Source organism: Homo sapiens, chromosome 2 (assembly GCF_000001405.40).
Source record: "Homo sapiens chromosome 2, GRCh38.p14 Primary Assembly".
Classification (NCBI taxonomy): domain Eukaryota; kingdom Metazoa; phylum Chordata; class Mammalia; order Primates; family Hominidae; genus Homo; species Homo sapiens.
In genome coordinates this window covers 198,579,138-198,603,869 of record NC_000002.12, presented here as the reverse complement: position 1 = coordinate 198,603,869, position 24,732 = coordinate 198,579,138, and the positions used below count along the sequence as shown (strand labels likewise).

The following is a 24,732-nucleotide window of genomic DNA, read 5'->3' as shown; positions in this document are numbered from 1 at the left end:
ACACTTTAGTTTTTGTTTTACTCAACCATTGAACTACATTTGGATTATTTCCAGTTTTTGGTGATTATGAATAGAGCCATATAAACATTTGTGAACAAATTTTTGTGTGGCTGTAAGTTGGGTAATAAATAAAAGTACGATTGTGGTTCACATAGATAAAAAATATGTTTAACGTTAGAAAAAAACAACAAAGTGTTTTTCAGAGTAGCTGTCCCATTTGTATTTCTGTCAGCAGTGCATGAGAATTTCACCTGCTCCACATTCTTGGAAGCATTTGGTATGAGTAGATTTTTTATTTTAGCCATTTTAATACATGTACAGCAGTATCTCATAACAGTTTTAATTGCTAATGATTTTAACTTTTTAAAATTTATTTGTCATTCACGGATCTTTTTTGGTAAACTTTCTATTTTGCTGATTTTTTTTTTTTTTTTTTGAGATGGAGTTTCATTCTTGTTGCCCAGGCCGGAGTGCAATGGCGCGATCTTGGCTCACCGCAACATCCGCCTCCCAGGTTCAAGCGATTCTGCTGCCTCAGCCTCCCTAGTAGCTGGGATTACAGGCATGTGCCACCACGCCCGGCTAATTTTGTATTTTTAGTAGAGACGGGGTTTCTCCATGTTGGTCAGGCTGGTCTTGAACTCCTGACGTCAGGTGATCCGCCCGCCTCAGCCTCCCGAAGTGCTGAGATTACAGGCATGAGCCACCGCGCCCGGCCTTATTTTGCTGATTTTTAACTGGGTTGTTCCTTATTGTTGAGTTAGACAGTTTTTAAAATATTTTGGTTGCAAGTGCTTTATTGGATTTGTACTTTGCAAATATTTCCTCTCAATCTGTAGCTTCTCTTTTCATTCTCCTGTTAGTATTTTCAGCAACGCGTTTTTGAAAATTATGATAAATTTCAATTTACCAATTTGTTTTAAAGTATCATGGTTTTGGTATCGTAACTAAGAACATTTTTCCTAACCCCAAGTATTTTCTTCTATATTTTCTTCTAAAATTTTATAGTTTTATATTTTACCTTTAGGTCTTGGTCTCTTTTGTGTTAATTAGCATAGATGTGAAGTTTAAGTCAAAGGTTAACATTTTTATATAAACGTCCAATTTTTACAATAACATTTGTTAAAAAGCTATCCTTTCTCCATTAAATTAACTGTGTATGTTTATTAAAAATCAATGCACACATTCTGAATTTGTCAAAGTTTTTTTCTGTCAACTAATAAAATTGTGTTTTTTGTTAGACTATTAATATGATGGATTGCATTGATTAATTTTAAATATTTATATATTTAATTATTTATTTTTATTGATACATATTAGAGGTACATATGTCCAGGGCACAGGAGATAATTTGATACATTCGTAAAATGAAATAAGAGTAATTGGGATATTCATCATCTTAAACATTTATAGTTTCTTTACACTAGGAACATTCAAATTATTCTCATTTGTCTATTTTAAAATGCATGATCAATTAACGTTAACTATACCCACCCAACTAATCTATCAAGCACCAGGTCTTATTTCTTCTGTCTGAGTGTATATTTCTACCCCCAATCAACCTCTCCTCATCCCTCCTTGCCATCATCCTTCCTGGTCTCTAGTAACCACCAATCTACTATTCTTGTATTCATCATCTTTGCATTCACTTCTTATGTGATATTTGTTTATGCATGTGTACATACACACACATATATGCCAGGTTTTATTTGCTAATACCTCAAAGAAAATTTTTGTATCTAAGATTATGAAGAATTTTGAATCTACGTAATTTTTGAAGGCATTTTAGCTAAAGATTCTATTTCTTTATAGGAATAGGACTATTTGGTAGGTAGTTTGTCGTTTTCAAGAAATTGAGTCATTTAATCTAACTTGTTGAATTTACATCCATAGAGTCTTTCATAAAAATTCTTTTTTTATCTTTATAATATCTCTAGTGTATGTAGTAATATTTCTGATATTTATAATTTGTGTCTTCTCAGTTTTTTGTCAGTTTTACTGGCAATTTATTAATTTTATTGATTTATTCAAAGAATCAGCTTTTGGTTTTATTGGTTTTCTCTATTGTTTTTCTATATTAATTTATCAATTTTTGTTTTTATCTGTATTATTTCCTGGCTTATGTTTGCTTTGGGTTTATATTTGCTGTTCTAATTAATGCTATAAATGTGATGCTATAAATAAACATTTAGTGCTATAAATTTCCTTCTACACACTGTTTTAATTGCATACACAACATTTGATATGTTGTATTTTCATTTTTATTCAGTTCAAAATATTTTCAGATGAGATCGGGCACATTCAGGGTGGTATGACCGTAGACGCCAGTTCAAAATATTCTCAAATTGTCCTTGAGATTTCCTCTTGAACCCACTGCTTATTTTAAAGTGTATTGTTTAAGTATGTAGGGCTTCCCCTGTTATCGTCTTGCAATGGTCAATAGTATAAATCTATTGTAGTATAATGCAGCATAATGCAAATAATATTTTGCATTATTTTAATATTTTAAAAGTTTAATTTTGTATTCTGCAGTTGTTGGATGCAGTATTCTTCGAATTGTTTTTCTGTACTGTACTCCTTTTCCTCTCCTTCTAAGTCTGCTTTGATACAAATTTTAGATCTTTTGATGTCCCACCAGTTCCCTGAGACTGATTGTTTGTTTTACCTTTTTTATCTCTGTTGTTCACATTCATCTACTTCACATTCACTGGCTCTCTCCATCATCTCCATTCTGCTTTTAGGCTCATTCAGTGAGGTTTTGTTTTATTATTATTGTGGTTATTATGTTGTTCAGTTCTAAAAGTTCTGTATGGTTCTTTATATCTTCTCTTATTTGCTAAGACAATCTATATTTTCATTCATTTCAAGAATGTTAGCCCTTCTTGGAACACTTTAATAATCCTTGATTTAAAGTCTTTATTTGATATTTACAATGTTTTGTTGTTTCTGCATTGACAACTGTTGATCCTCTCCTCATGTGAGTTGAGACTCTCCTGGTTCTTTGTATGCTGTGTAATTTTGGAATGTATTCAAGATATTTTCAATACCAAGTTATGGGAATCTGGATCTTTCTAAAGTCCTATGGGAACTGTTGTTATTTTTCCTTTAGCAGGCAATCAACTCAATTGTGTTTAGGCCACAAATTTTAACTAGCCTATTATTTAAATTACAAAATGTCAGTTTAGTTTTCAAAGACTTTGCAGTGCTGTTTGGTGTGTGCTAACCAATGGATAGTCTGGAACCTAAGAGACAGTATATCCCACAGTTTTCTCAAAGCCTTTTATATATTGTTTAGGGTTAGATCTGTGAATAGGCAGCTTAGGAGTCAGCCCAAGAGCTCATGAGTAACATTAAGCAGTCATTTTTTCTAAACTGCTCACTGTAATTTCGCTGTACTTTTTAGCTTCCTGAAGGTCTCCATTTCTGTTGTCCATCAGGAAGGCTTGGACAATAGCTACTTCACTCTGCCTTGACTGTGTCTGTGTCCAGAACTAAGTGATGGAAAGGGAGGAGGAGAAAAAAAAAGCAACAGGCATTCTCCCCATCCTCCTCGGGTCACACCTTCTCTGATCAGAGAGTTTCAGGTGCCTGCGGGTCCCCTCTGCTGCCACTGTCACTACACCATCACAGCTACACAAGAGAGTAGAATAAAGAAAACAAAACAAAAAACAACCAAAAAAAACTCCCAGGGGATTTATTTCTACTCCATGGTTTAGGATCCTTCTCTTCTGCAACTCAAGCTAAAACTAGAGCAAATGTCCTGGTGTTCCCTCTGGAGCTGACTTCTAAGTTGAAGGATGCCTTAAGTCCAGAGCTGTGGATATCAGGGGGAAAAAAATAAAAATTTACTTTTACGTTTCTGGTACATGAAATTCTGATCTGTCCTTTTCATCCAGCTACTTTTAAGATTTTCTCTTTGTCTTTGGTTTTTAGTAGTTTTATTCTAATTTTTGTAGATACATTTTTTATTATATGCAAACTGGCTGGGGTTTATCATATTTGTTAAATTTCTTTATACCTTTTATCTCAGCTGTTATCTCTTCAAATAGTGTTACTTCCTTCTCTTCTTATTCTCCTTCTAGTATTCTAATCACACATATGTCATACCTTAGTGTTTTTTTTTTTAATGTCATCGATGTCTCTTACCTTCTTTCCAGAAATAAGCATATTTTCCCCCTGTGCTTCACTTTCAATACATTTTACTGACCTCTCTTCTCGTGCATTCATCTTTCCTTTAGCTTATCTGCCCTATTATTAAAAGCATCTATGAGGTTTCTAAATTTAGTTATTTAATTGTTTGAGCAGAGTATATCCATTTGATTCCTTTCTATAATAAAAATTACCTGATAAAATTTTTCTCACTATTTTTTAATACTGTAATTATGATTATTTTAACATTTCCATCTAGTAACTCCAATATCTAGACTTCTAGTGGATTGTTTTTATTGTTCATTTTTATCATAATTTCTGGTCATTTCATCTTGTCTCTTAGTACATTTTAATTTTTACTTGACTACAGGATATTTTGTACAAAAAATCATAGAAATTATTTGAGGATCTAGGCAATGTGCTCTATCTCCAGAGAGGATTTACTTTTGCTTCTGTCAGACATATCACTTTAATTCAATCTGACATTATGCTCAGCTTTGAATCCCAGTTTTGGTCTTTGCAAAACTTTCATTTGTTTTCTCTCACAAGTAGGGTGTAGCCCTTTGGGGTATACCTAAAAGTGCTGAAAACTCTGTTGACCTTTTCGGCCTATTTGCCAGTACCTGCTAATTAGCAAACACCTCCAATGTAAAAGCAGAGCTGAAGGTTAAGATCACTTCTCTGTTCTTTCCTTCTTTCTGCCATCTTGCCTACTCAAGTCTTTGATGCCTTATAACCTCTCTTATAAAGAGATATTCTGGGAGTATTCAGTGGAAGTGTTCTTCTGACAGTCTAATTCATCTTGAAGCAAAAGTCCCAGTTTCATTTTATATTTTTATGTTTTTCTGGAAAGAATAAAATTCAATGGAATATGTTTTACAAATCTCAAATGTTACAATACAAACAAAGTATTCTTAAAGCATTATAATATTTTCCATTTAAAAACCACACTATGTTTTCCAGCAAAGAATTATGTTTTATCAGGCTTATAAGAGAAACTTACTTAAAAGACTGTGACAATATTTTCCTCAATAATTGGGATCAATTTTATGTTGAAAAATTCTAAATTTTTATCACTATTATTTACAATAAGATAGCTAATTTTCCTGAGAATTTGCTACATATCAGCAACTATGCAAGCTGCATGATCAGTATTTAGTAAAATCAACTAAAATAAAAAAGGTTTCTACTGAAATTATAACAGTGGTCAGTCAATGGAATTCTGTTCCTAAATCAATGTATTTTATGTCTTCTTTACTATTTCAGAAGTATAATGGATATGAGAAGAGACAACTTTCCTCAGTATTTCCTATTTGGTATATCGAGCTAAGGGGTCAAAAACACATTTTCTCCAGCAATTCAATCTGTATATTGTTATATTCAATAGCCTAACTCAGCTGCTTTACATGTGGTGAAGAGTACTTGACCCTGCCCTGTCTATTCACTGCCTTACATGCTCTGAACCTTCTTAGTTAGAAATCCAGAGAGCATTTGTGTTTGGTTCAATTGTGTACAAATTGGCATAGTCCCCTAGCATCTTGGACAAAAGTTCCAAGCTAAGAGATACATGCCTGAAACCAACTCACTACCTGCTCAGCTCTTCTACTTTGGAAGAGTCTGCATTGTTGGCAATGCAAGAGAAGGAATATGTAAAGGTATTAATCAGATTCTGTTTCAGAGACCACGATGTCCTAGACACATAGATCCACTGGGAAGTGCTTTAATTATTATATAAATTGTGGTCTTCATGGTGAGTGGGAGAACTGCCCATCACTATCACTTCTGCACTGTCCTTTCCTTCTGCTTAATCTGTTATTACACACACACGCACACACACACACATACACACACAAGACTGGTGTCAACCCTTCGAGCTATGATAAAAGAGAGAAGACTGATGCTTACATACTTTTTGTTTTTACAAGTTTATCTCCCCTTCCTTAGGACAGGAAGCTATAAACTAACCCCATCCCCGCCTTCTGGCACTTAAATAAATACAATAAAAATAAAATTACCTCCAACTGAAATCACACTGTTTCACTTGTTTCGGATAAAAATCAAGGTATTTACAGTTGCCACTCAAAAAAAAAATGTCCTTGGCTTCCAGAAACTCAGCGCATTAATCCTCTGGAAACATGTTAGCGTTAAAAAGTAAGTCTGGAAAGCATCTAAATGGCCAATCTGACTTTTTTCTTGTTTCCCTAAACTGGGGGATTTTTGTAAATTATGTAATCTAATTAAAGTATACTCAATTTCAATAGTCATTAGAGCTACTTCAAATATTTTCCAATATTTTATAGAGGAACTTTCTAAAAGTTTTTTTGAATCGTGAATAAAACATTCTGGATGGCAGCAAGACTAAATTATTCTGGGCAAGAACTATTAGTATATTAAAAATAAGCATTAGACTTTGGGGAGAAAAATGTACAGGGTGTAACATTTTTCATGTGGTTACAATGAAGTAAGGGATTTGAAGGCAAAAACAAATCTGGCAAATTATAAGTTAGGGTAGTAATTCAAGGAAGTCATAAAATAGAAGACTTTTATTGCACCATGGAGACAGTTTGGTGCTATTAGTGGATTAAAAAGCATGTGGGACTGTGAGGCTGGAAAAGATGGAAGCTTGAAAGAGTTGGTGGGTTAAATATTAACAAAGAAAAGATGATGTTTACAGACAGTTTCTGCAAACATGCTCTAATAAATAAGATCCTCCAAGCATTCAAAAATAGAACTGTGCAAAGCCACAAAAAATCTATGCTATTGATCTTCCCACCAAACTTGGTCTTCCTCAGCAATGCATGACTTCACTGTCATCAGAATTTGTGTTAGTCCTTCTGGAGAATGTTGCCAGCATAGTCAAAACCTAGTAAAAATAGGAAAAAAAAGGTGACAATTTTGCACTTGTCTTTAAAAACTAGCTACAGTGCACTGAAAGCAGTAAAGTGTGGTGGAAATGTGCGAATGTGAGCTTCAAACAGACCTGAGCTTACATTCTCAAGTCGTACAAGTTAGCCTCTCTGAGCCTCAGATTCCTTATCTGTAGAACTGAGATCACCATACGCAATTCTCAGGGTTGCTTTTTAGTGTAAAAGTTGCTTTTTTAAAGTTTAATGTGCATATTAAACACCCGTAGAATACTGCTGAAATGCAAATCCAATTCTGTAAATCTGGGGTAGGATCCTGAGTGTTTAGCAAGCTCCCAGGTGATGCCTGTGCTGCTAATCCCAGGGGCACATTTTGATAGAGAAGCTTCAAATCATCAAAGCATTTAGTGTACACTTAATTAACCTGCCACTTAATTTTAATACTAACATTTTGCTTTTGTTCACAGTAATTTTTCTATAATATTTCTACATCAATCTTTTTAGGCTTACAAAATAGCCCTTGGAAAAAAAAAAAAAACGAGGTATTGCCATCCTAAGAGGAAGCACAGACACATTACAACGAGTGGATATGTCCATGGTCTTGAATAGAGGTGAGACATAGCCCTGTGAGAGTCATTCACTGAGTCTTCAATACTGGGTGTATTGAAGACTAGAATTTTTAAATTTATTTACCTTTTCAGCTAATTGCACAGCTTTTAATGCAATGAAAGGAAGGAAACCAAAAGCCTTGACCATCAATGCATTATTAAAAATATATATATATAATAAGCTCATTTAAAATGTCTGAAAAGTGTGATATTAAAATAACCACATTTGTAGACATCAGGAAGAGCTTAGTGAAAAAACATTTCAAGTCCTGCCCACCACATGTAAATAAACTCTTTGGAAGGCTTCACTCAAGAGCCTTGGCAAAGCTTAAAACAAACTAACAGTAAGTGATGCTGGGGGTTAACAAGAAAAATCACCTAGAATAGGCTTTTAAGAAAAGACAAGCTGCTCTAATAACAACTAGACAATTATCTGAGCTGTAGCAGGCTTCAAATGTTTGTATCTCCTACTGTAATGGGTTTTCCAAAGAGAAAAGACTATCAGGTACTGATTTTATAACAATAATCTAGCATCTTTTCATGAATTATTTTCATCTTATTAGTTTCATTAACACATTTGAGTACTAAGATTAAGTAGATGTTGCATAAAATGTCCTTTGTACTTTTTCATTTTATCTTTTAATGTAATTTTTAGAACTAGGTAAGGGTAATTAAAGGAAAGAAGTAAAAATTAACTCTATTTGGACATACTATACTCGAATGAAATGTGCTGAATGAACACAATGTATCCAGTTTTCTTTAAGAAGCTAATAAAATTATAAAGTACACATTCTTTGTTATAAAAGAATGAAGAGCTAAATATCTAGGCATGAGACAAAGCTTAGAGATGGGTGTTAATGGCTGTGGGTTGACTCTGCACAGCACTGCATTTTATTGTGCTTGTTTTGTTTTGTGCTTTGCTAAAACCAAACAGGATGTATACCCCAAAGGGTTCCTTCTCATTGTAAGATTGAAAATCATAGCATTTTTTTCTATCAAAAAATATAACTGTTCTTATAGGGGAAAATATGCTTCTAAAAGCATTATTTAAATTTTTTTCACATGGCAAGACCCATATCATTGCATTTCTTCTCAAAAGGTTGGTGAAGCAAAGAAGGAAAACAAACTATTTATAGACACCAGATATTTAACCATACTTGGGAAGGAAACAATGATATTACCATAGTCATAGTATTGTGGTAAACCTGAAGAAACTGTAGGTCACATGGGCAGAAATAAACTACCATCTGCTTCTACCAGCAGGTGGATGAGAAAACATACAGCCTTTCTCACTAATTACCTACAACACCATCTAACTCTAAATATTTTGCATGTAGAGATTTCCGTTCTATGTTTATAAATACACATATAGGACAAAGAAACACTTATTTTAAAGATCTTAATATCTTGTCTGTTAAGCAATTAGTATTTAGGAGAGGGGCTATGTTGACAGCTCTGCAAACAGAAGTTTCTGATTCATCTGCTAAAGAGGTACTCGCATACCTTGGCAGGCTTCCTCACTCTGCTTTGTTGAATGGTTTACCCATATTCTACATATAACCACCTTGTCTTTCCCAAACCACCTTGGATATCTAGCTCAACAATTAATCTGTTAAATATTAGAGTAGAGTAGCGTAGTCTGTTCATTCCTTGAATCGAGAAATGTCAATTTAATGTCAAAATATTTTATTTTATTTTATTTTCTCATAGAGGCACCTGTGCTATTTAATCACATCAACAACAAATAATTATAAATGAAGCAAAAAATCCAATTATGAATTCCAGGGAAGTAAAATATGCTGTAACCATTATCCATGAAGTTGCTTTCATACTTCTTTAGCATAACCATTTGGGCATGTGAGCATGTTTGTGTGACAGCAAATTTTAACTACACACTAAAGTCTATCTTCTCTTCTTCTTCTTCCTGGAAAGAGCTGGGTTACATTTTGCAGACTCCCTTGCAGTGAGGCATGGCTGTGTGACTGAATTCCAACAAACAGGATGTGAGCAAACTTGAAGGGTATCACTTTCAGGTTTCATCCACTAGACACTTCTGTGCATGTTCTTCCATGCTTGGCTCCTTGACCAGGATGGGGGTAACCAGGGTGAACATAAAATATAGGTGTGGAAGGAACCAACACCATGGCTACTGAAAATCCTAGACTTTTTACCCACTCAGAGTTTTCATGTTAACAAGGAAAAAAAATCTACTGTTTTTGAGACATTATGCATTTGGGAATCCATTGTTATAGCAGTTGACAATATCCTATATCGTTAGACAGCAGTCCCGAAAAGTTTGAAAATCAATTTGCTGTATTTTTGAGTAGCCTAATGCTTAATCAATCCAAGGTACTCTTCATTCTATTTTCAACACATTGGGGATATCTATTAAAGTTTTCCTTAAAAGTTCATATTAATTATTTATATTTGTTCATTCCTAGGACAGGAGAATACTATTGCCAAAAAAGGGGGGATTTTTAGAGATAAGTTTGCTGATTGTGAAAGCAAAAAATAAAAATAAAATAAAATAAAAAACAAAAAATACCCTAAAGTTTAGTATGTAGAGAGGAAACAGAAGAAACAGAATTAACAAATAAAAATAGAGGATTCCCAGTAAAATTTGAATTTTAGATGAATAACTACATTCTTTTAGGTATAAATATGTCTAACATGATATAACAGGCAAAGCAGGACTTGCTTGTACTAAACTTTTTTCGTAATATCTGAAATTCAAATTTAAATAGATGTTCAGTATTTTATCTGGAATCTCTAATCAGAATGGACACAGTCAAAACACAAATTAATTTACTGAAAAAGTCAGGTTGAATTGGAAAACACTGGATAAAAATTAAAAAGAAGAGCAATTTAAAAATGAACTTAAAGGATGAGGATAGAAGCAATATTACTAACAAATAATAAAGCACTCAGAAGAAAATAATAGTAGAAAAAAGATTAAAACAATTGAATAAATTATGATGAAAAAATCACATAATAAAACAGAAAAGAAGGACTTTAGAAGACAAGGGATGACAGATTAGTCATATGATAGTAAAATTGAAGAACACAAAAGACAAAGAGCTTCTAAGCTAAGATCTAATTCTAAGAATAAATTCTAGGAAAAATTTTAAAAGCAATTCTAAGAGATCCTAGAATGGAAGGAGAAAAGGGTAGATCATACACAAATGCAAAAGAATCAGTTTTCCAGCAGACAATTTGGATGAGAGGATAATTCAACACAATCCTCAAGATTAATACAAAGCCACTGGCTTCAGCAGTAGAGTAGTGTACCAGCTGGCTTGTCAGGCATTCATTTATTAGCAAGATAGCCTTCATTCTAGAATTCATTAATTTATTCCACAAATAGTAAGATTTTACAAAGTGTTCTCTATGCGCAGCATTGATCTCTCTAAACACTGAAAGTTTAGATGCAAGAGCTTTGCTTAAATCTCAATGTATTAAATGTATTACATCCTTCTAAACCAGCATGTCCTGCAATGTGATGTAGAACACTGGTGTTCAACAACTGCTAAATAAGTTTGTTAAAAGAAAAAAAAAGGACAAAAGGACACTTATGTTAGGAAATGACATATCTTAGAGATTAACATTGCATGTTGCATATAAAATACTAAAAAATCAAAAAAGAAATCCAACTTTGTTTAACTCAGCACTTCTTATTAAACACAATTGACCACAGAAAACTTTTTTTTTTTTTTTTTTTCAGGAATACCAAGTAAGCATTTCTAGAAACCCCAGTGGCCTGGGGAACTCAGTTTAGGAAAATTAGTGTTTTCATTTAAAAAATAATTAACATAACATAATAAAATTCAATAGTAAAAACAGTTACACATTGAATGGAATACATAAACTATATCAGCTATGATCTTTAGCCATATAAATAAAAAAAGTACCATCTCACTTCTTTATGTCATTTGTTTAAGCATTTTTCTTATTTCATATTTATTGAATGTGCTTTTGCAAAAACAGTCACAAGAAAAAAACACACTGAAGCAACTAAAGTTGGTGCTGAAATTTATACCTGACAGTACTTAACTACAGAAGTATTAAAATTACTATGGTACACATGGGGACTCATAGGCCCAGGATTTACTATCACTGAAATCACCCCTGAGTAGCTGAGTACATTACAAAACACAACACTATAAAGGAGACTGCAATATGGGAACAATGTGCTAGGAAAGCATTTCAGTAAATAAAAACTCAGCAGACTTTATGGCTGTTGGTAATACTTGTCACTTAATATAGTTTATAAAAATTTCCTTATTAAATTTTGTAGGGCAGAATAGCACATCTTCCAATTTCTAACAGTGATGTTGACATAGGTTTAAAAAAGCTGCAGCTGCAGTCTTCCCAGACCTTCCTCCCTGACGTTATTACAATACGTGTTGTTCTGAAATTTTCAATTCAGCTATAAACAATCTACTTTATCAACAACATGCTTTAGCACTTTTTGAAATGGTGCTTTGAGGCAGATAAATGAAAATAAGGATGGCAGAGTGCCAATAAAAATTCTGCAGACTGTATCTTCAGTGCAGTAAAGGCTAAGGCAGCACAAGGTTTTATGTATTTATTTATTTACTGTTGATTCCAGAATTCATTTCTCTCCTTACCATAGCTGCGTTATTTTTGTTGATTCTTTGTTCTAATCCCAGCTGACACTTTTAGATAGTAATGGCTCACACACTTTTAATTAATACTAAAAGAAGTGGATTTTTTGTTTTTTGCTTTAGAAATCTGGCATTTTGTCATTGCTTTACTTGTCTACAGGGTAAATGGAGGTTACATTCTGAAGTTTAGGACATATTAAAAGTGCCATTTACTGCCCAAAAACTCAGCCATTTTGAATGTATAAGACCCGGATTCCAAACTGAGATCTCTTTACTCTAAAGCATTTTTATGTAAAAGATAGTTACGCGCTTTTAGGATTCTTCACAAAGTTTGCTCTAAAACGATCTGTTATGTGAAATAACAATGAAAAATAAAAGTTATTATATGTTATGAAAGAAAAGAGGCTGTGAAATTGAATTTCTCCACTTCATACTGGTTTATGATGAGAACTTCAAATTCCAGTTTAATTCTCTGTAAGTAAATTTTAATTTTATCCACACTAATTAAAGACTTGCTATTTGATATTAGTTTGGAAATACCCAATTACAAAATACATTTTAACATTATGGGCTTTCAATTCTAAAAAGATGTCCTAAGGGATCCCTTCTTAGTAGTCAGTAATTTTATTGAGTTTGTAGTCAAATCACATATGTCCATGATCCGAAGTCTTCCACAAACCTAGCAAAATTTTATTCATTTTGTAATTATAATGAAATGATTCGTATGATAAGCTTAGAAAATTTAAATAAAGTTAGATTATAGAGTTCTAACATTGAAAAGTAGATTTTAAAGGGGCACAGTATGAATGCTTACATACAATAAACAATAAATACCAGTGAACTCTACTTTATCTGTGTTTGTCTTTATATTACCTGAAATCTGAAGAATGTTCATGCCAAAATACTGTCCAAATTTAACAGTCTAAAATTTACTGGTCTTTTATTTTTGGTTAAAAATACAATTCCAAAATTATTTGATATTTCATGGCACAGTTATATTTATTTGAAATTAAATATGAAAAGTAAGCCTTTAATGTATTTTCCTATCTCTATCAACAGGAAATAAATGCTCTTATCACCATGAGGAATTTCCAGAAATTCATATATTCTTGAGTATTGATTTAATGGCTATGATAGTTTTATTGTAGCCTCTTTTAATATATATTTTAAATTAGAAATTTAGAAATTATTATAAATTAAAGTATATAAATGCAAGAATTTTGTATTAATAAGGTTGCTACCTCAGCACAATTTCCATGAGGACTCACAAATTGTGAGTGGAATTATAAAACACTCCTAGGTAAAAATTAATACCCTTGGGTAATAATTCTAAACAACATATTTATGGGATTTCAAAAATAAAGTAAATTTGGACACATTCCTGTGACATCTATTCTCCCATCATACTTGACAAATCAAAACTGGATTAGAACCATTCCACTTTGTACTTGAAAACAAAGAGGAAATAAGAATTCTTAAAAAGCACAAAATACAGAACAGAATTAAAGTTCATTTCCACCCACATATACACAACAAAAAGATTAAATAAGGGAAATATAAATGGTTTTTTTAATGGATAACAAATGACAAAGTTATCTCTGGACTGTTCCATAGCCAGCCTCGCTCGGTTTCCTCTAACTCTTTAAATTCACTCCTTTTCTATTCGTACTACTTCCTACTCTAATCACCCCTGAGGCATTCGCCAGGAACTTTTGCACCTATTTTGTGTTTTTCCCACCTCCCTGTCTTCTGCAGTCACCACAGCTGCCTGTCCACCCAAGTCCAAGGATTCTGTAGATTTTTAGCATGTATAGATGATAGGAATGGGCTCATAGGATGAGAGTGTGATATTTGCTACAAACTTTTGGTATTGATCTTCCTATGTACTAGAATCTGCTCACACACCACTCCCACAATTTCCTGAACATGCTCTGTTTCATGATTCTGCCCCTTTTCATATACACTCTACTCAGGTTGTCTTAAGTGACCTACCCTCAGACTCAATCTGGGTAAAACCTTTGCTCTTTCAAGGCCCAGATACATGTTGTTTTTTTCAGTAAAGCCTTTTGCAGCTGCAGGAAGCCAATCATATTCCATGAAGTTCTGTAATTACCGGTCTATATACAGATCACTCCTCACTCAATTCCGAATGATTTGAGGACAGGAATTAAGCCTTATTAATCTTTCAGCTATAGAGTGTTCTAAATATTGTTGACTGAGTAAAAGAACAAAAAGGAGGATTCAATTATGATTCAGCAATAACCTTTTGAACGTTCACATAACACAGATGTTGTGTTAGGACTATAGGAGACACAAATTAAACAAGATGCGAAACTCTCCAGGAGCTTGAGCTCACAGGGTGGAGCTTGCTCCTGTGAGACAGAGACAGGACTGACCATGATGAATGCTGTGACAAGTACTTGGGCCCACTGTGCTCTGTATACAGAGTGATATAGATACTCTGATATCAGGCACAGAGAAAAAGGCAAGCCATCATTTCACCATTTTATTGAGAACATACACTGTGCTAAGTATATTAGAATCATGTCTTTTCATCATTATAAAAGCTGTATGATGATAGGAAATAGTATTATCCCCATTTTACAGATGAGGAAAACAGGACTGAGGTAAAGATACTTGCCTGCCCACTTACTTTGTAAATGACATATTTAAGATTTGAATACAGACTCTGGAGCCCACACACTGTTAATCTTTTGGAAGTCAAAACATTTTATTTAGAAAGCAGTTTGTTTTAGAGGTACTTTTAAATGTAATTCTTTAGTAGGAACCTCTAGCACAATTTGTATTTGAATAGCATTTAATCCTTAAGATAAATTCTGGATAGAACAGGTTAATTAACAAATTCAATATGGCGACACCTCCGCACAAGTGTTCGTGGAGTGAATGTATTCCCTTTTCTAGGGTTTGGGCCACACTGTGTTTAAATAACTTAACTGGCAATTTGAGCATCTGGTGTGTTTATTTAATCTCTCAGCATTTTAGCATCAGATTCTAAAATAGGGAATTATCAGCTCCTACTTCCTCAATCTTATGCTTTTTAACACTGGAAAACTGATGTGATATCCTGAAAAATATGTCCTATAAATACCCAAAAGTGGCTGCTTTTGCTAGAAGTAGCAGTAGTGGCACTATCAGACAGATGTGACCATTTTAAAACTTTTAGAAAAGCTACACATTATTGCTTTTAAACACAGACAACTTGTGAGAAAGAAAAGAACACGGACGTGCACAGTTTAATATGGAATTGGATTTTCTTTGTTACGTACACATGAGAAATACTATCTATCTATCTGAGAAGTAAAAAATGTGAATGAGTAAAGATGTAAGTTGAAAGAGTGCATTGAGTTGGTGGACGAACTATGCAAAAACAAGTTCAAACATGTGAAAATGTGACTTTGGTAATCTTGCCAAGGTCAGAGATGCTGAAGGAAGTATGCTGAGTACAGGCTAGCTCTGCAAGCAAGAGTCAAGGTTTGTTCTACATTCCATTTGGATATCATTCCCCGTGCCCTATATGTCCACCTTTCTTACTTCTATTATGTGCCATATCGCTCCTAGACACAGGAAACACGTTCTAGGAGGAAGAGAAAAGAAAGCCTGAACTTTGAAGCCTGTAAATAAGTTCACTGTGGCGGATCTCGTTAATGCAAATGTTATGACCAGCTAGCCCTAAGAAAGCTGAGCAGAATGAGCCTAGGAGGCCTCCTCTCTGCATGGGCACATGGCACACCCATCAGCACCGACAGAGCTTAAGCATTCATATCGAGGGGCTGCAAACCCCTGGGCAGAGACACACTGTATACACACTAGACATGGAAAATGTATGAGGAAAAAAGATTAACTGACAAAAAGTTAATTAAAACTGCTCTGATTATGAGGTAGAATTTAACAATTACTTTAAAAAATGCAGTGTGACACAGTGCAGCACTGCAGCTGAATTAATCATGAATGAGGAGAGCAATGTTTAATTTTTGTGTGCGGGAGAAAAACACTCAACAGATTTGACAATTAGAACAGGGTAACAGCATTGCATGGCACAATGCAAAGCGGGTTTTCCCAGTGGTTTTTTGGGAGGGAGCTAAGCAGATGTGCTCAAATATTTACAAATGCACAATATTCACACACTCTTCAGCTGCCCACCCTGCTGATTTCGCAAGAAACCGTCTTCAATCTGGAGGCCACTGAGGGAGCGACGTGCACTGCGTCTCACACAACTCCAAGAGCAGCTCAGACAAGGCCCCCACTGACTGCCTCCAGTCCATGCATTGGTTGTAGGAACAGAGAGGGCCAACAAGCTCTTTCAAATACTCAGCTTCCAGGATTCACTTTGTCCCACAAAGTGGGCAGCACATGCAGTTATCATGGATGAGGCAGGGTCTGCTCTGGAACAGCTGTTGTTTGGTGACTGTTCTCAATGAGCATTTCCACAACCCGATACCAGCTCTGTTTAGAAAGTTCACACTTGAAGCTGTGAAGTAGCCAAGATGACCATAAAAACCCCTGCCAGCATGGCCCTGTATAAATGCTTTGCTTTGCAAATTTTAGGCTGAATGTTTACCCACAGAATTATTTCAATTAATATTAGGGCATAGAAGTTTTTTTATATTGCAATTTTATTGAGATATAATTCATATAACATACAATTCATTCATTTAGAGTATATAATTCAAAGACTTATGGCATATTCACAGCATTGTACAACAATCACCACAATCAGTTTTAGAACATCTTTTGTCACCCCAAAAAGAAATACATTGCTCTTTGGTTGCCATTAGCCAATCCTCCCCTTCCCCTAGCCCAAGGCAAACACCAATTTACTTTCTCTGTAGATTCACCTACTCCGTATATTTCATATAAATGGAATCATATTATATGTGGTCTTCTTTCACTGAGCATAATGTTTTCAAGGTTCATCCATTTTGTAGCATGTTTCAGGACTTCATTTTTGTGGCTTAATAATATTCAATTTATGGACATACTCAATTTTATCCACCAATGGACACTTGGTTATTAATACTGCTTCTGTGAACATTTGTGTACAGGTTGTTGTTTGGTCACTTGTTTTCACTTCTCTTGAATATATACCTGGGAGTAGAATGGCTGGGTCGAAACCAAAAAAACTGTGTTTAGTTTTATGAGGAACTGCCAGACAGTAGCTGCACCATTTTACATTGCTACCAGCAGTGGATGAGGGTTCTGATTTTTCCACATCCTTTCGAACTCTGGTTATTATCTATATGTATATTTTATTAAAGCCATTCTAGAGAGTGTGGCTTTGACTTGCATTTCTCTGATACCTAATGATCTTGAGCATCTTTTTATTTTTATTTTATTTTATTTATTTATTTATTTATTATACTTTAAGTTTTAGGGTACATGTGCACATTGTGCAGGTTAGTTACATATGTATACATGTGCCATGCTGGTGCGCTGCACCCACTAACTCGTCATCTAGCAGTAGGTATATCTCCCAATGCTATCCCTCCCCCCTCCCCCCACACCACCACAGTCCCCAGAGTGTGATATTCCCCTTCCTGTGTCCATGTGATCTCATTGTTCAATTCCCACCTATGAGTGAGAATATGTGGTGTTTGGTTTTTTGTTCTTGTGATAGTTTACTGAGAATGATGATTTCCAATTTCATCCATGTCCCTACAAAGGACATGAACTCATCATTTTTTATGGCTGCATAGTATTCCATGGTGTATATGTGCCACATTTTCTTAATCCAGTCTATCATTGTTGGACATTTGTGTTGGTTCCAAGTCTTTGCTATTGTGAATAATGCTGCAATAAACATACGTGTGCATGTGTCTTTATAGCAGCATGATTTATAGTCCTTTGGGTATATACCCAGTAATGGGATGGCTGGGTCAAATGGTATTTCTAGTTCTAGATCCCTGAGGAATCGCCACACTGACTTCCACAATGGTTGAACTAGTTTATAGTCCCACCAACAGTGTAAAAGTGTTCCTATTTCTCCACATCCTCTCCAGCACCTGTTGTTTCCTGACTTTTTAATGATTGCCATTCTAACTGGTGTGAGATGGTATCTCATTGTGGTTTTGATTTGCATTTCTCTGATGGCCAGTGATGATGAGCATTTTTTCATGTGTCTTTTGGCTGCATAAATGTCTTCTTTTGAGAAGTGTCTGTTCATGTCCTTCGCCCACTTTTTGATGGGGTTGTTTGTTTTTTTCTTGTAAATTTGTTTGAGTTCATTGTAGATTCTGGATATTAGCCCTTTGTCAGATGAGTAGGTTGCAAAAATTTTCTCCCATTCTGTAGGTTGCCTGTTCACTCTGATGGTAGTTTCTTTTGCTGTGCAGAAGCTCTTTAGTTTAATTAGATCCCATTTGTCAATTTTGTCTTTTGTTGCCATTGCTTTTGGTGTTTTGGACATGAAGTCCTTGCCCATGCCTATGTCCTGAATGGTAATGCCTAGGTTTTCTTCTAGGGTTTTTATGGTTTTAGGTCTAACGTTTAAGTCTTTAATCTATCTTGAATTGATTTTTGTATAAGGTGTAAGGAAGGGATCCAGTTTCAGCTTTCTACATATGGCTAGCCAGTTTTCCCAGCACCATTTATTAAATAGGGAATCCTTTCCCCATTGCTTGTTTTTCTCAGGTTTGTCAAAGATCAGATAGTTGTAGATATGCGGCATTATTTCTGAGGGCTCTGTTCTGTTCCGTTGATCTATATCTCTGTTTTGGTACCAGGACCATGCTGTTTTGGTTACTGTAGCCTTGTAGTATAGTTTGAAGTCAGGTAGTGTGATGCCTCCAGCTTTGTTCTTTTGGCTTAGGATTGCCTTGGCGATGCAGGCTCTTTTTTGGTTCCATATGAACTTTAAAGTAGTTTTTTCCAATTCTGTGAAGAAAGTCATTGGTAGCTTTATGGGGATGGCATTGAATCTGTAAATTACCTTGGGCAGTATGGCCATTTTCATGATATTGATTCTTCCTACCCATGAGCATGGAATGTTCTTCCATTTGTTTGTATCCTCTTTTATTTCCTTGAGCAGTGGTTTGTAGTTCTCCTTGAAGAGGTCCTTCACATCCCTTGTGAGTTGGATTCCTAGGTATTTTATTCTCTTTGAAGCAATTGTGAATGGGAGTTCACTCATGATTTGGCTCTCTGTCTATTATTGGTGTATAGGAATGCTTGTGATTTTTGCACATTGATTTTGTATCCTGAGACTTTGCTGAAGTTGCTTATCAGCTTAAGGAGATTTTGGGCTGAGACAATGGGGTTTTCCAGATATACAATCATGTCATCTGCAAACAGGGACAATTTGACTTCCTCTTTTCCTAATTGAATACCCTTTATTTCCTTCTCCTGCCTAATTGCCCTGGCCAGAACTTCCAACACTATGTTGAATAGGAGTGGTGAGAGAGGGCATCCCTGTCTTGTGCCAGTTTTCAAAGGGAATGCTTCCAGTTTTTGCCCATTCAGTATGATATTGGCTGTGGGTTTGTCATAGATAGCTCTTATTATTTTGAAATACGTCCCATCAATACCTAATTTATTGAGAGTTTTTAGCATGAAGGGTTGTTGAATTTTGTCAAAGGCTTTTTCTGCATCTATTGAGATAATCATGTGGTTTTTGTCTTTGGCTCTGTTTATATGCTGGATTACATTTATTGATTTGCGTATATTGAACCAGCCTTGCATCCCAGGGATGAAGCCCACTTGATCATGGTGGATAAGCTTTTTGATGTGCTGCTGGATTCGTTTTGCCAGAATTTTATTGAGGATTTTTGCATCAATGTTCATCAAGGATATTGGTCTAAAATTCTCTTTTTTGGTTGTGTCTCTGCCCGGCTTTGGTATCAGAATGATGCTGGCCTCATAAAATGAGTTAGGGAGGATTCCCTCTTTTTCTAATGATTGGAATAATTTCAGAAGGAATGGTACCAGTTCCTCCTTGTACCTCTGGTAGAATTCGGCTGTGAATCCATCTGGTCCTGGACTCTTTTTGGTTGGTAAACTATTGATTATTGCCACAATTTCAGGTCCTGTTATTGGTCTATTCAGAGATTCAACTTCTTCCTGGTTTAGTCTTGGGAGAGTGTATGTGTCGAGGAATTTATCCATTTCTTCTAGATTTTCTAGTTTATTTGCGTAGAGGTGTTTGTAGTATTCTCTGATGGTAGTTTGTGTTTCTGTGGGATCGGTGGTGATATCCCCTTTATCATTTTTTATTGTGTCTATTTGATTCTTCTCTCTTTTTTTCTTTATTAGTCTTGCTAGCGGTCTATCAGTTTTGTTGATCCTTTCAAAAAACCAGCTCCTGGATTCATTAATTTTTTGGAGGGTTTTTTGTGTCTCTATTTCCTTCAGTTCTGCTCTGATTTTAGTTATTTCTTGCCTTCTGCTAGCTTTTGAATGTGTTTGCTCTTGCTTTTCTAGTTCTTTTAATTGTGATGTTAGGGTGTCAATTTTGTATCTTTCCTGCTTTCTCTTGTGGGCATTTAGTGCTATAAATTTCCCTCTACACACTGCTTTGAATGCGTCCCAGAGATTCTGGTATGTTGTGTCTTTGTTCTCATTGGTTTCAAAGAACATCTTTATTTCTGCCTTCATTTCGTTATGTATCCAGTAGTCATTCAGGAGCAGGTTGTTCAGTTTCCATGTAGTTGAGCGGTTTTGAGTGAGATTCTTAATCCTGAGTTCTAGTTTGATTGCACTGTGGTCTGAGAGATAGTTTGTTATAATCTCTGTTCTTTTACATTTGCTGAGGAGAGCTTTACTTCCAAGTATGTGGTCAATTTTGGAACAGGTGTGGTGTGGTGCTGAAAAAAATGTATATTTTGTTGATTTGGGGTGGAGAGTTCTGTAGATGTCTATTAGGTCTGCTTGGTGCAGAGCTGAGTTCAATTCCTGGGTATCCTTGTTGACTTTCTGTCACGTTGATCTGTCTAATGTTGACAGTGGGGTGTTAAAGTCTCCCATTATTAATGTGTGGGAGTCTAAGTCTCTTTGTAGGTCACTCAGGACTTGCTTTATGAATCTGGGTGCTCCTGTATTGGGTGCATATATATTTAGGATAGTTAGCTCTTCTTGTTGAATTGATCCCTTTACCATTATGTAATGGCCTTCTCTGTCTCTTTTTATCTCTGTTGGTTTAAAGTCTGTTTTATCAGAGACTAGGATTGCAACCCCTGCCTTTTTTTGTTTTCCATTTGCTTGGTAGATCTTCCTCCATCCCTTTATTTTGAGCCTGTGTGTGTCTCTGCACTTGAGATGGGTTTCCTGAATACAGCACACTGATGGGTCTTGACTCCTTATCCAACTTGCCAGTCTGTGTCTTTTAATTGGAGCATTTAGTCCATTGACATTTAAAGTTAATATTGTTATGTGTGAATTTGATCCTGTCATTATGATGTTAGCTGGTGATTTTGCTTGTTAGTTGATGCAGTTTCTTCCTAGTCTCGATGGTCTTTATATTTTGGCATGATTTTGCAGCGGCTGGTACCGGTTGTTCCTTTCCATGTTTAGTGCTTCCTTCAGGGGCTCTTTTAGGGCAGGCCTGGTGGTGACAAAATCTCTCAACATTTGCTTGTCTGTAAAGTATTTTATTTCTCCTTCACTTATGAAGCTTAGTTTGGCTGGATATGAAATTCACGTTCAGATTCAGGAAATACAGAGAACACCACAGAGATACTCCTCGAGAAGAGCAACTCCAAGACACATAATTGTCAGATTCACCAAAGTTGAAATGAAGGAAAAAATGTTAAGGGCAGCCAGAGAGAAAGGTCGGGTTACCCTCAAAGGGAAGCCCATCAGACTAACAGTGGATCTCTCGGCAGAAACCCTACAAGCCAGAAGAGAGTGGGGGCCAACATTCAACATTCTTGAGCATCTTTTTATATGTGCATGGGCCATTTTTGTATCATCTTTGAAGAAATGTCCATTCAGACTGTATTAGTCCATTCTTACACTGCTATATAGAAATATCTGAGACTGGGTAACTTATAAAGGAAAGAGATTTAATTGACTCACAGTTCCTCATTGGTGGGGAGGCCTCAAAAAACTTATAATCCGGTGGAAGGCAAAGTAGATGAAGGCACCTTCTTCACAGGGTGGTAGGACAGAGTCAGTGCAAGCAGGGGAAATGCCAGACGTTTATAAAACAATAATATCTCATGAGACTCAATCATTATCATGAGAACAGCATGGAGGAAACCGACCCCATGATCCAGTTACCTCCACCTCGTCCCACCCTTGACACGTGGGGGACACAGCCAAACCATATCACAGACCCTTTTTCTATATAGTAGTTTTTATTTGTAATATGTTGTCTTTTAATTATTGAATTGTAATTATTTTATATTTATATTCATATATGAATGTATAAGATATATGATGTATTACATAGGTGTATACATATATATTCTAGATGTAAGTTATTTTCTCTCATTTGTTGGGTTGTCTTTTTAATTTCTTGATAGTATCCTTTGAAGCATAAAAGGTTTATTTTTATGAAATCCAATGAATCTATTTTTTTCTGTTGCTGCTTGTGCATGTCATATCTAAGAAACCATTGCCAAATTCAAGGCCACAAATAGTTTACACCTATGCTTTCTTCTAAGAGTTTTATAGTTTCAGTGCTTACATTTACGTCTTTGGCCATTTTTAATTTTTATACATAGTAGTGGATCCAACTTCTTCTTCTTCTTCTTTTTTTTTTTTTTTGTTGTCATGTGGATAACCATTGTCCCAGCACCATTTTGAGAGAACACAGACATTTAAAAAATTACCACTCCCTTTATTCTCATGCCTCTTCCAATTCATGTCTTTATCACCCCACAGCAGGCTTTTGGAGAGTATGGAAGGAAGGACTCTTAATGATGTCCCATTGATAAGTATGTGCTTATCCCATTTGAACTGCTCATCTCTGCCACAGTCCACTTACCATATTCTTCCCACAGGTCCAATAACTCTCCAAAGCAAAAGATTTGGAGTCCTAGATCTAGACTTATTCTTAGCTTTCCTATTTATTAATCATGTCAACTAGCGAAAGTTATTCCACTCTTCTAGCTTCTATTTTTTTTTTAATCTGTTAAGTGAAGTGAGCGAAACAGAAGTGAACACACTGGGACTCTGGTCCACATTCCCTCAGACTTTTTTCATGGACACTCCTTTCCTCAGCTCCTTTGGCATTTGCTTCAAACAGCCTGCATCTGAATCTCCCTTTGAAAGACTTCCCTTGAGTCACTAGAACCATTTTTCCTGCCTGGGCAGAAAGCTGGAAGTGACTGGGAATTACATTACCCCCTAGGGATATGGAAACCTCTACCTTATGAGGACAAGATCCAAGCTGTAATTTGCCCTCCACAGTTCTCCCAAAGAATGAGACCAGGGCTAGAGCATCACCAGAAACTGTACCCTGCTTGCCTTTTTCCTTTCCCTGTTCTACATCCCCCATTCCCTTCTGGCTTCTCCCAGGGCGGTACCTTAATAAAATGCTTTAACACAAATCCTCACCTCAGGATCTGCTCTAGAGAAACTGACCCAAGATAAATAACTCCCTTGTACAACTCCTGCTTGGATAAATGAGATTTTGTATTCCACATGCAAAAGAATGAAGTCTTACCTTACACCATATATGAAAACTAACACAAGATGGATCAAAGACCTAATGTTAGAACTAGAACTGTAAAGCTCTTAGAAGAAAACATGAGAATTTAACCTAGAATAATATCTAAAAAATAAGAAGCATTCAATCAATGCCATTTGTCTTGTGATTGTCATTGTTGTTGTTTTCATGGCTACCTACCAACCAAAATTCCTAGGGTTGACTGTAGGCACATGACAGACCAATTAGTGTTTTTGTATTCAATTTTTAAAACTTTATTTTTGCTTTAATGTATTTTTTCCTGTTTTAACAGGTCTTTTGTGAAGACTTTGAAGTTGCAGGTTCATTCTGCCGCCATATACGTAACATTCTAAGGTAAACTTAGTTTAACTTAATGGTACTGATCGCCCACTAAATAAATAGGTACACCCTGATGTTAGTCAGTTTATATGTGTCTTATTTTTCCCTGATATAATTTTTTCAATGTATCTCAGAGAAGGATGCTTTTTAACATCTTTGAATAGCAGTATCTTCCCACAGTTCAGACCAGGTGTTCTGTGCCTGGAAGAAAAATTCTCATTAAGTGGAATATATTTGGCTCTTTTGTTTCCAACAAGGTAATGAAAAAGGTTTAATCCTATTAATTATCTTTAGGAAAACACAAAAATTATTTGCGTGTCATGAGCAGCCTATGGGTTTCTCAAGGCCAAAAATGAGTCTATTTCCTTGTGCAAAATTCCTTTCATAAATTCTATGATAGATTGTTTTGCTTTCACTGTGACAAGAATCAAGCCTTTGAGACTTTCTGTTCATCTTCTTTTTGAAAATAAGTACTGTGGAAAAACAATCTATTTGCTGTCATACTATGCCATGGAAAATTATTC

At 35.3% G+C, this 24,732-nt stretch overlaps 1 long non-coding RNA gene across 2 annotated transcripts in view; it reads left to right on the top strand.

The window, feature by feature from the left end:
* LOC105373831 (uncharacterized) overlaps positions 1-24,732 on the top strand; it is a 279,396-nt gene that overhangs the window by 168,461 nt on the left and 86,203 nt on the right. For both annotated transcript variants that reach the window (XR_923759.3, XR_923760.2), the window contains exon 2: positions 24,162-24,223. This is a non-coding gene — a long non-coding RNA (uncharacterized LOC105373831). The remainder of the gene's footprint in view (positions 1-24,161; positions 24,224-24,732) is intronic.